This window comes from Homo sapiens, chromosome 6, assembly GCF_000001405.40.
Source record: "Homo sapiens chromosome 6, GRCh38.p14 Primary Assembly".
NCBI lineage: Eukaryota > Metazoa > Chordata > Mammalia > Primates > Hominidae > Homo > Homo sapiens.
Genome location: NC_000006.12, coordinates 135,026,507 through 135,038,534, shown reverse-complemented (window position 1 = coordinate 135,038,534; position 12,028 = coordinate 135,026,507). Strand labels below are relative to the sequence as shown.

At 34.7% G+C, this 12,028-nt stretch overlaps 1 protein-coding gene across 6 annotated transcripts in view, besides 1 other annotated feature; it reads left to right on the top strand.

The window, feature by feature from the left end:
* HBS1L (HBS1 like translational GTPase) overlaps nucleotides 1-12,028 on the top strand; it is a 94,445-nt gene that overhangs the window by 16,288 nt on the left and 66,129 nt on the right. For 2 of the 6 annotated variants that reach the window (XM_017010192.2, NM_001145207.2), the window contains one exon: nucleotides 509-2,670. The exons of the other annotated variants lie outside the window; for them this stretch is intronic. In XM_017010192.2, coding sequence (XP_016865681.1) covers nucleotides 509-1,977 — 1,469 coding nt within the window. In that variant the 3' untranslated portion in view covers nucleotides 1,978-2,670. Of the gene's footprint in view, nucleotides 1-508; nucleotides 2,671-12,028 lie in introns of those variants that run through there. 6 annotated transcript variants of the gene reach the window in all.
* Nucleotides 8,112-8,171: an enhancer, noted in NCBI's record as "active region_25096". NCBI's record gives its function as "activates an Ori minimal core promoter by ATAC-STARR-seq in GM12878 lymphoblastoid cells {active_cell/tissue: GM12878}" and the evidence as "EXISTENCE:reporter gene assay evidence [ECO:0000049][PMID:35858748]".

The window sequence follows — 12,028 nt, the reverse complement described above, 5'->3', positions numbered from 1 at the left end:
ATGGGCACTTGTAACTGGCTGTGATGGGAATGAGTCTGTAATATGTCATCTTGTATTGATAGTGTATCCCAGATTGTGGTAGAAATTACCGGGGGTTGTTTGCTTATTTGTTTCTAATACATTAAAATACAGAATAAAAGGAACCTAGTTTTTTTTGTTTTTTTAAAGAAGTTTTTGAATTTGAGACAATCCTGACTACAATTTAATTATGGTTAAGACCTCACATTTTTAAATTCGTGAAAATTAGAACATTGACTGACTTACATTGTATGTATCAGTGAACAGAGTATAAAGGTTACTTTAAATTGGTAAAGGAAGGTAATACTCCCTTATTGTTTTTTAGAGTATTCATGTTAAGTAATGATCAAGTATCACTTTATTCATGTCATAATCAAAAGAAGCATTTAGTAATTAAATGCCTCATTTCATGTTTCCTTTTGGTTGCTGTGACTGTCTTCTGCGTATATCAACCTATTCATCTGAAAATTAATGGCTCTTGTAAGGTAAGGAGTCTTATTTTCTTCTTCTGAAGTTTCAGCTGATAATGTTCAAAGTTCTTATCCTCAGTCAGCAAATCATTTGGATTATAGTAGCAAACCCTTTGATTTTGCTAGCTCAGTAGGAAAATACGGATTATCTCATAATTCTTCAGTTCCAACTCACTGTTTACTCCATAGAAAAAAGAAACTTGACACACGTAAAAGTGAAAAGAAACTAGAATCATGTAAGTTAACAAAAGAACTTTCACTAGCTAACCTAATTCATGATATGTCAAGAGATTCCTGTGAAAGTCAGCCATCAGTCAGATTATCATCTACAGACAGTCTGGAAAGTCTGCTTTCAAAGAACCTAGATGCCGATTTGTTGAGACCTCATGCATCTGAATGCATTTCCAAAGATGATTCTGCATTCAAAGAAATACCAGATTTAAAGACCATAATCATAAAGGGCACAACACCGAATAATTCTTTATATATTCAAAATAATTCACTGTCTGATTTTCAAAACATTCCAGTACAGGACAGTTTAGGAAGTTCAAATAATCCTTTGTACTTAACTAGCTCGTTGGAAAATATGACTGTTGATAATTTAAATGCTAGTAAAGAAACTGAAGTTGGAAATGTTTCTTTAGTTGAACAAAGTGCCAAGAATCACACTTTTAAAAATGATAATTTGCAGTTTTCTCAGTGTGAAAGTCCATCCCTAACTGAACTGTTTCAGGAACACAAAGAAAACAATATAAGCCAGTGCTTTACTTTATCTGACCTTTGTAACCAGTCATCTGCCAGTTTCACAGATCTAAGTTTGGGATCCTTTCCCCTGTCACAATTAGCAAATCGCTGTCAGTCTTCACCCGGAATATCAGAATTAACAGGATCTCTGTCGTCATTGGCATTTCATAAAGCTTCTCCCACAAGAGACCTTGAGAATTTGTCACTTTCTGAATTGATTGCAGAAACAATTGATGTAGACAACTCTCAGATTAAGAAAGAGTCCTTTGAGGTCAGTTTATCTGAAGTGAGGTCTCCTGGAATAGATTCAAATATTGATCTTAGTGTCCTTATAAAAAACCCAGATTTTGTTCCAAAGCCTGTAGTAGACCCATCCATTGCTCCATCATCACGAACTAAAGTTCTAAGTTCAAAGCTAGGGAAGAATTCCAATTTTGCTAAGGATAATAAGAAAAACAACAAAGGCTCTCTGACTAGGAAACCACCTTTTTCTCTCTCTTGGACCAAGGCCCTTGCTGCTAGACCTTCAGCTTTTGCCTCAACACTGTGTCTTCGTTACCCACTGAAAAGCTGCAAGCGACGCACCCTTGACCTCTATAAGACTTTTCTTTATAGTAGACAAGTTCAAGATGTAAAGGACAAAGAAATAAGTCCACTTGTAGCAATAACACCATTTGACTTCAAATCAGCATCACCTGATGACATTGTAAAAGCTAATCAAAAAAAAGCATTTACTAGAGAATAGTAACAAAAGGAAAACTTGATTGCTGTTGTAGAGCTTTTTATTTTTAATTAAAGTCTTCAGAGGATCACTTTATATTATGGGATTCAAATTCTGATTTTTATGAAAATTGTCGTAGGTCAGTTGATTAGTTGATACGTATTTTTGCACTGATTTTTTTTTTAACTATGTCTTCTTTCAGTGATAACTGGCTTTATTTAAGTTGGTAACCTATACTGAGTATATGTTTACAAAGTGGATATGGAAACTTGATGTTGTGAAATCAGACCTCATATATTTTTGTTTGAAGCATTCAACTTTCTATGTTTTTTATAATGAAATATTTTTTTCTATGAAATATTTTTGTGCTTTGTTCTTAAACGAAAATGCCAGCACTTGGGATTATTATAGTTTAGTGTGAAGATTATTCTTATGTGGCACAGCATAACTGAGATGTTATATTTTAAAATATGATATAATTCCTAGTTTCATTATTTTTCTGTAAATACTAAAATTTTTCTATTAGAAAATCTTAAAATTCCTGACTTTTGAGAGTACTGTGGAGATTGTTGAAATACATTTTTGATAATAATAAAATGAAAATCTTTTAAGGGACCATGTAAATATAGAAGTTGGATTAATATGTGAATTATTTTTATACATTTTTAAAAACCATTTGTCCTAAGTATACACTTTAAAATAAATATATAAAAAGTGTTTTCAAGTATGGTTGCATGTTCTTTGAATGGAGAATTTTACCAGATCTCTTTAGCTTCTGCTGCTGCTGCTGCTTTTTTTTTTTTTTTTTTTTTTTTTTTTTTTTTTTTTTTTGAGACAGAGTCTCGCTCTGTTGCCTAGGCTGGAGTGCAGTGGCGCGATCTCTGCTCACTGCAAGCTCCGCCTCCCAGGTTCACGCCATTCTCCTGCCTCAGCCTCCAGAGTAGCTGGGACTACTGGTGCCCACCACCACACCCGGCTAATTTTTTTCTTTTTTGTATTTTTTTTAGTAGAGATGGGGTTTCACCGTGTTGGCCAGGATGGTCTCAATCTCCTGACCTCATGATCCGCCCGCCTTGGCCTCCCAAAGTGCTGAGATTACAGGCGTGAGCCACTGCACCCGGCCTGTTCTTATTATTTTTTTTAAGATGGAGTCTCTCTCTGTCGCCAGGCTGGAGTGCAGTGACGCTCACTGCAGCCTCCGCCTCCCGGGTTCAAGTGATTCTCCTGACTCAGCCTCCTGAGTAGCTGGGACTACAGGTGCATGTCACCACGCCCAGCTGATTTTTGTATTTTTAGTAGAGACGGGGTTTCACCATGTTGGCCAGGATAGTCTTGATCTCTTGAGCTTGTGATCCACCGCCTAGGCCTCCCAAAGTGCAGGGATTATAGGTGTGAGCCACCACGCCCGGCCTAACTTGTTCTTTACAATAAGTAATGGAATGTGGAGTTTTCCTTTTTGCTACTGACAGTTGTGTGCCCCACAGTGACAAAGTTTCAGCAATGCAGGATCAATAGAAGCTTTTCTAATCAGTAGAATAATTATGTAATTCATCCCTTAAAGCAGTGGTTCTCAACTAGCAATCAGAATCACTGGAGGAATTACTTCAGAACACAGATACTGTGGCTTCACTCCATATATGCTGAAGCAGTCTCTGTGGAATGGCATTTGGGAATGTGTATTTTCAAAATTATTCCCCAAAATGTGTATTTCTGTTCGAGAACCATTGCCTTAAAGGGAGGAATCAGTAGAATGAGTTATCAATGCCAAGAATAACATCTGACCAACTTGAATGAATAATTTCTAGAAATCAGGAATACCAAGGAAAAATGCTACTTAGGAATTAATGGCCCTTTGCATAAAATGATGGAGATATTATTAGTATTCCTTGGAAAAATATAATACAGTAGTATCTAAAATGTTATTTTATTAGTTTTTTTGAGACAGAGTCTCACTCTGTTCCCCAGGCTGGAGTGCAGTGGCATGATCTCGGCTCACTGCAACCTCCGCCTCTCGGGTTCAAGCGATTCTCCTGTGTCAGCCCCCCGAGTAGCTGGGATTACAGGTGCGTGTCACCACACCTGGCTAATTTTTGTATTTTTAGTACAGACGGGGTTTCACCACGTTGGCCAGGCTGATCTCAAACTCCTGACCTCAGATGATCCGCCCACCTCGGCCTCCCGAAGTGCTGGGATTACAAGTGTGAGCCACCACGCCTGGCCAAATATTTTTTTTAATGAAAATGAAAAGGCTGGTCTTTTCCTAGTAAATATTTTTTCTCTGGCAGCTACTTTACTGTGCATTTGATAATTTTTTGTATTACTTTTGTTTCTGTTTATTTTCAGAATGACATTCTAAAATTTTAATCTGTGTCATGTTTTTATATTCAGTATTTTGATGGGAAAAGTTAAGATGGCATTATGTCTTTTTTTTTTTTAAACCAAACACTTCTTGATTTCTTGTGTTGTCTTCAGGTTTTTGTTTTTAATTGAATGTATCAGTGCACCATAATACTAATGCTTAGGACATCATTTAAATCACAAGCTATATTTTGTGAATGATTTTAAAATTTGAGTTATCCCAGTGGTTGAGATTGTTTTTCTGGTCTTGAACCTTGATCAAACATTTTAGTAACTTTGAATTAGTATATGACTGAACTAGATGTATATATTAGCAGTCTCCAACTTAGGAGTGAATTAATTGAATTATAAGAGTTTGTAACTGATGATAATTACTGATAGGTTAGGTGCTGCACAAGTGGTCCACATTGCACATGAATCCCCAAATACTTATGTAATCTACACTGTAGTTGAATAGCAGCACTATTGTGTTACCTTCTTTTATAACAAAGTAATTTTCAAGTGGAAATGCAATACTTTTAAAACCATATAGTAGACCTTCTAGGGTGAACTAGGTCTCCATTTGTTGGCTGATTAGGGTTGTAACTACTAGGTATGAGATTCTTTTGGTGGGGAAAAAATTAGATATTATAGGGTGGTAAGAGAAGGCAACAATACCTTAAATAGGTTTCCAGGCTTCCTATTTTCCTTGGCTTGGCTGCTGGTCTGTCAGGCATGTACATGACAAGTACTTGCCCTGTTGACTAAGGGAATGTCACAGTCTCTTTGAGACTGCGAAGGTGGAACTGAGCAGACCTTTCCACCTTCCACCCTTGGCCATCGATCCTTGGTAAAAAGCCAAGTGTCTGCTTATTCATGAATACACTCCTTGTGATGATTGTTGGCACTAAGTGTATATTCTGTACCAGCTGCTGTTTATTGATTGCTGTCTTAGTAGCTCAGGTATGCTACGTGTTTTAGTTGACTTTATTTTCCAGTTCAGCTGTAAATTTTAAGATGCAAAGCTGTTTTTATTTGCATTATGATCAAGGGCATTAATAATTTACTTTAGAAATAGAAATAATATTGTAATTATATTCTAAATGATATAAAATACATTATAAACAATTTTTGCTCTTCACTCTTTTTGGTTTCTTAAAAGATCTGATGTTGTTCATGGATGGATGTTTTGTCCTTTTGCATTCTAAAGTCTTTAGGTGGCTCTTTTGGATATGATTCTTCTTGCAATAAATTGCCAAGAACCAGGGTTTCATTTCTGTACAGAGCACTTTTTAAAACTTTTCCTTTTTCCTAGTTACTAAACTGGCATTTTAACCTCTTTTTCTCCTTTTAGCTTTGAATCTGTCTTTCTTAAACTTGTCTTTTACTCTTTTTCTTCTCATATGTATTAATAACTATAGTCAGTGTTTTATATTTAGTTTTTAGTACTCAGTGGGAGGTCATGTAACTAATTGTCATACCAGGGATAAAACTAATAAGGTGCTCATTTTTTGTAAGTAAAAGGAACCACTGAAGATAAAATACGGTTATAGAGAAGAATAATGAGTTCTCATATGATTATTTACCTTTTTAAATTGACCCTGAATCTGTATGTGGACCATTGCAAATAAACAAGTATACATTGTATGTTGAGAAAGTACTGTGTATCAACATGTTTTTTGTGTTCATGCAGGTATATATTTGGTTATAAAGTCAGTTTTATAATAGTTTAGAAATTGTTTTATATATAAACAGATTATATATAAATGTGGACTAGACAGGGAGGGATTAATATGAATTTCTATACTAGTTTTCCTTTACCTATATATTTATAATGACATAAAGCTCAGCTTATGCAGTTATACAATTTTAATTTTTAGATTGTAAAAAATTTGTCACATTTTGAATATATATATTTTGTAAAAGCTACATTGAAAGAAATTAAAATTCTGAGATTTTCCTAAATCAAATGTAAAAACATACAATCTATCCATTAGGATTTTCTATATAAACTTGATATTTCTGAATGGTCTTTTACTCATTTATGCTGAAAGTACTGTTTTATTTCTATAAACAAATTAAAAAACAAACTACCTGGTTGTGAAAATTTTATTTTAAGGTATTTAGCATTTAGAATTCTTGCCTTCCATGGGGTAAAATTTTATATATTCTTTTACTTTTTAGGACTCACATAGAAACACTCTTTAAGTATAGGTTGTGATGAATATTGGTGATGTAATTGCAGAGATGACAGTGCAAGGCAAAGGAAATGATAAGCTGGGTATGGTGGCATGTACCTGTAGTCTGAGCTGTTTGGGAGGCTGAGGCAGGGGGATTATCACTTGAGTCCAGGAGTTCAGGTTCAGCCTGGGCAGTGTGGTGAGACCCCATCTCAAAAAAAAAAAAAAGAAAAAACAAAACTGATAAAATGCGTATTTATTTCCGACATTGACATGCCTAATTTATATTGGATGAGTGAAGGAAAGCAGTTTAGTTGCAGGATATAACCCAAGATGAACAAAGATATGATTCTTACGTCAAAGGGGAGGAGGATATATGCACACTTCAGCACATGATTATCTTTATTGCAGTGTGGCATATTATACCCTTCAAAGCTGACACCTTTGTCTTCCTCATCCAAGGTGCCACCTTCTCTTCTGTTTCCCGTCTTTGTTATTACTGTCACCATCTAGTTAACCAAAATCAGGAATCTAGTATCATCCTTGGTTCATCTCTCTTCACCTGCTACTCATAATTGATTACCATTCCTGTTATTCCCACCTTATAAATAAGTAAATGTATGTGTGTGTGCACATAATATGCATACATATATAGTCGACTCTTGTTATTTGCAGTAGTTATGTTTTATAGTCACTACGAACACTGAATTAATGAATACTGAACCATTGCTCCTACAAGAAATACAGAGGTAGGTTCCTGTGAGCCTCTCATAACATTTTCATCAATCAGTGAATACATAACATTGTTTTATATGTGTCTCTATTTAAAGACACCTTATTTAATGGATGTGTATAGCATGGATTCATTAACACCGAACTCATGGCCCACAGCACTGGAAGTCATGCCTTATCTAATATCTTTTATTTGTTAGGCACATCCTAGCCTTCTTGTGTTTAGAATACTAAGCACTACACTTACAGGCCATTTTAAAAATTACCAACAAAAAGTACAAAATTACCAACAAAAAGTACAAAACTGGAAAAAATGCGACACTAAGTAGACCATGAAAAGGACATTTGTTTACAGTATGAGAGCTGTATCAAAAAGGCCGACGTCACCTTCTGTGAAATTGCATGTTGGATGACTCAAATTTTTCGCTGCTCTGCACATGTCCACAAGTGATTGCAAAAGTGAGTAGTGATTTTGGGATTACAAGTAAATTGTGATTAGGTGAATTCACAAATGTAGAACCTGTGAATAATGAGAATCAACTGTACATTTTTTGGCCCACTACTCTTTATTGTTATTTTTCCTCTTTATTATTTTCTTCTTTATTGTTACTTTTCCTCTTTATTGTTACATCTTTATTGTTACTTTTGTTTTCATTATTTTATTTACTGTTACTTTTCCTCTTAAAGGCCATTAGCTTTTAGCAGAATTACCTAAACATCTAACTGGTTTCTTGACTTTTCAGTTTATTTCGGCCAGAATAAGTTTTCTAAACTAAAGATCTAATTTTCTGTCTCCCTATCTAAATCCTTTTATTTCCTGAGCCCTTTTATGAACTCATTTCTGTTTTGTACCTGTTTACCCAGACCTACCCAAGAACACCTACCTGAGTTTCCTCTCCTTCTATAGTGCTTGCCTTTTTTCTCTCCCCCTTCCCTCCTGGCTAATCACTGTTTGAATTGCAGTTTCGATATCACTTTACTCTCAATCATGGGGTAGGGGAACTTTCATATGCACCCATAGTTCACCGTTCTCCCTTTATTACCACCCCATGTGAAGTCATAATTCCTCTCCCACACATACATAGACTTTCTGTTGTAACTGTGCTTTATTCTTCACAGCACTTGTATCCTCTGTGTTTGTTGTATATACACTTGTTTTTGTTATGTTTTCTCTCTGCTCTCCCTCCACCCCTCTTCCATGTAAGTTCTACAAATACAGGAATTTTGTGTATTCATTGCTGTATTCCCAACTCAGAATATGTCTGGCACATAAACGTAGGCAAGGCTTTTAAGTAAAAATTGAGTCTGTCTCCTAATATGGTCCCACAATCTTGTTCCTTAGAGGAAGCCACTGTAAATACACTGTTTCTTCTTTATTCTTCCAAAGGTTTCCCTAGCATGTTACACATATGTGAATGTACGTATACATTTTTATACAAATGGAGAATATACTGTAACACTTATATATGTATCACTTAATAAAGCATTTTGCAGAACTTTGCTGCCATATACAGATCAATGTCATTCTTTCTTAACAGCTACCTAGAATTCTGTAATATGATTGTACCATAATTTATTTAAACAGCCTCTATTGATGAACATTTTAAGTGTTCCAGTTGTTATTGCTAATAATAAATGAGCATCCTACATTTCTAGAAATTGAGTTTATATACTTGAAAGTTTTGGATAGATATTGCCTAATTGCCCTTAATAGAAATTGATTTCCCTCCCACTAGTTTATGAGCATTTCTGCCCAAATTCTTATAGATAGGGGTATTATTTCTTTTGTTATTATACCAACCTGATAATTGGAAAATGTTTTTTCATTTATTTATATTTCTTATATATAAAGCTATATTTTTCTTCCTGTCTATTCTTAATCTGCCCATTTTTCTGCTGGTTTATCTCTCATTTCATGATTTTTTAAGGTGTATGTGTCTGTGTATGTGTGTGTGTATGTGTATGTATATGTGTGGATCCACATATGCATATTTATATACTAAGGAAATTAGTCATAAAATTGTTATATGCATGGAAAACACTTTCTGATTTCTAGTGTGTCAGGTCATTTGTTAGAAGATAGATTTTGAATTTGTATATATTCAGATTTATTAGCTTTTTTTCTTAAGGGTTTTGGAAAGTTATGCTCCACTACAAGATAATTTTTGAAAAAATATTATTTTTTCTCATATCTGTGTCAGATTCATTATTTTACATTTGTATCTTTGATTTAGCTGCTATTAAGGGCTAACATAGGAATCCCATTTCTCCACCATCTTTTCTCTATGGAAAGATGGATTTATTGTAGTACCTTTTTAAATTACTATAGCTTTTTAGTACCTATTTTTTGGTAGGCTGTCTTATTTTTTTCACTCCTTTTTATAGTTTTTCTGAGTTATCTCACATGCCTCTTTTTCCCATATGAGCTTTAGAAACAGCTTGTCTTGTTACTAAAAAAAGAAGAAGATCCAGCTATAATTTTTGTTGTTGTATTTACTGCTAGCAAGAGATTTTTGAAGGAAAAAAATACTGTCTCCAGAGATGCCAAAGGCTTTAGATAACATTAGACATTATTATTATCTTAGTAGATTTTCTAGTATTGTTCTAGTCTTATGATGAAGAACCGTCTCCAGTTGGTCATGGTGGATTATTCTTTTAATGTGATGGATTTTATTTGCTAACATTTAAGATGGTTTCATCTATTCATAAAATTACTTGCATTCGTGTGTATGTGTATGCTCTTTGGATTTTGGTTTTTCTTGTGATGGTTTTACAAAAAATTTAGAATGATTTCATCTTCAAATAATTCAGTAGCATTGAAATGATTTGTTTTATGATAGGATTTATCTTTTTGAAGATTCTGGGGTCAAATTTGAAAGTTTTAATTTTCTTAGAAAAACGTCCATTTCATCCAAGGTGACAAATGTATTTGTTGTGCATTGTACCAAACATTGTCTTATTCTTTTAGATTTTTCTGTGTCTGTAGTTACTTCTCTATTCTCATTTTCAGTATGGTTTTCTCTCCTCTAGTCTCCCCTTTCTCTCTGCCCAGCATTTTTTTTTTTTTTATTACCTTGCAATTTGTTTTTTTCTTCCCTAAATTTTGGTTCCAAGATCTGTAATTAGTTCTCCTGGTTTAATTCATTACTTTGTAAGTTTGGGTATGACTTAATGTATTTTCCTTATGTTTTTTGCTTTTCATTTCCTACCCTTCTGAGTAGAATATTTAACATACATGCATTTTTAATTCATCTTAAAAGTTTTTATGGCCAGGCGCGGTGGCTCATGCCTGTATTCCCAGCGCTTAGGAGGCTGAGGCAGGTGGATTGCTTGAGCTCAGGAGTTCAAGACCAGCCTGGGCAACATAGTGAAACCCCATCTCTACCAAAAATACAAAAAAATTAGTCGAGTGTGGTGGCACGCATCTTTGATCCCAGCTACTTGGGAGGCTGAGGTGGGAAGATTGCTTGAGTGTGGGGACAGGTTGCAGTGAGCCAAGATTGTGCTAATGCACTCCAGCCCGGGCGACAGAGTGAGACTGTCTCAAAAAAAAAAATGAGTTTTTATTTATGGAATTTCTAACAGAAAAATGCAGAAAATAATATAATAAACACTCATGGAACTAGCACTTGGTTTTAATAAGCTAACATTTTGCCATGTAAATTTCAGATCTCTATTTAAATAAACTGTTAGATTGGAATCTAGCCTCATCCTTTGCTTGTTCCTTCCTAATATTTTAAAGTTGATATTCATCATTCCCACTTTCTTCTTATTTAATTATATCTTACTTTCCTATGAATACTACATTTGCAGTGGCTGATGGGTTCTTTTAGAATTACTGTTATTTTCTGGATAATCCACAATTTTAATTTTCATTTCGTTTTTAAGCCAAGAGTCCAAGAGAGTTTTAGAATTTTGGTTGCTGGGGAGTTTTGTTATTTTTGTTATGATTACTGGTTTTATTATACTGTTTATCAGAGTGTGTGATCTGTACTCTGTTTATTGAGTTTGTGGCCCAGTGTAGTTCTCTGTAGTTTCATAGGCATTTGTCAACAATACTGTTCTGTTTGCAGAATACAAAATACAATACTTTTCTGTTAGCTATTTTTTCTTTTCTTTTTTTTTTTTTTTTTTTTTTTTTTTTTGAGATAGAGTCTCTGTCACCCAGGCTGGAGTGCAGTGGCGCAATCTCGGCTCACTGCAACCTCCGCCTCCTGGGTTCAAGCTGTTCTCCGGCCTCAGTCTCCCGAATATCTGGGATTACAGGTGCCTGCAATCACATCTGGCTAATTTTTTTATTTTTAGTAGAGATGGGATCTTGCCACTTTACCTATGCTGGTCTCGAACTCCTGGGCTCAAGTGGTCTACCCGTCTCGGCCTCCCAAAGTGCTAGGATTACAGGCCTGAGCCACCCCACCCGGCCTGTTCATTATTCTTATAATCTGTTTTTTTTTTTGGATTGGCAATAGGCTGAGTGTGGTAAGTTAATATATAACACTCTTGCATTTTTATTTCATATTGCCTGGAGAGTTTACCCTGTAAAATTTGATATATAAAGATACATGAACTTTCTGTGCATTTGAATTTTTCATTAAATTTCCGTTTTTACTAGTTTTTCAATTTTTGCCTTAAATTCAGTTTAGCATTAATATCATGATTGCTGCTTTCTCTAAGTTTTATTCATCCCTTCTTTTGCTTTTAGTGTTTTGAGTGACTTTGGTTTAGTTGTATCTCCTGTACTTGTATATACTTGGGTTTGGATAGAGAGTCTTTGTTTTAATAGATGGGTTTTTCTCATTTATGTTATTAATAGACCAGATAATAAT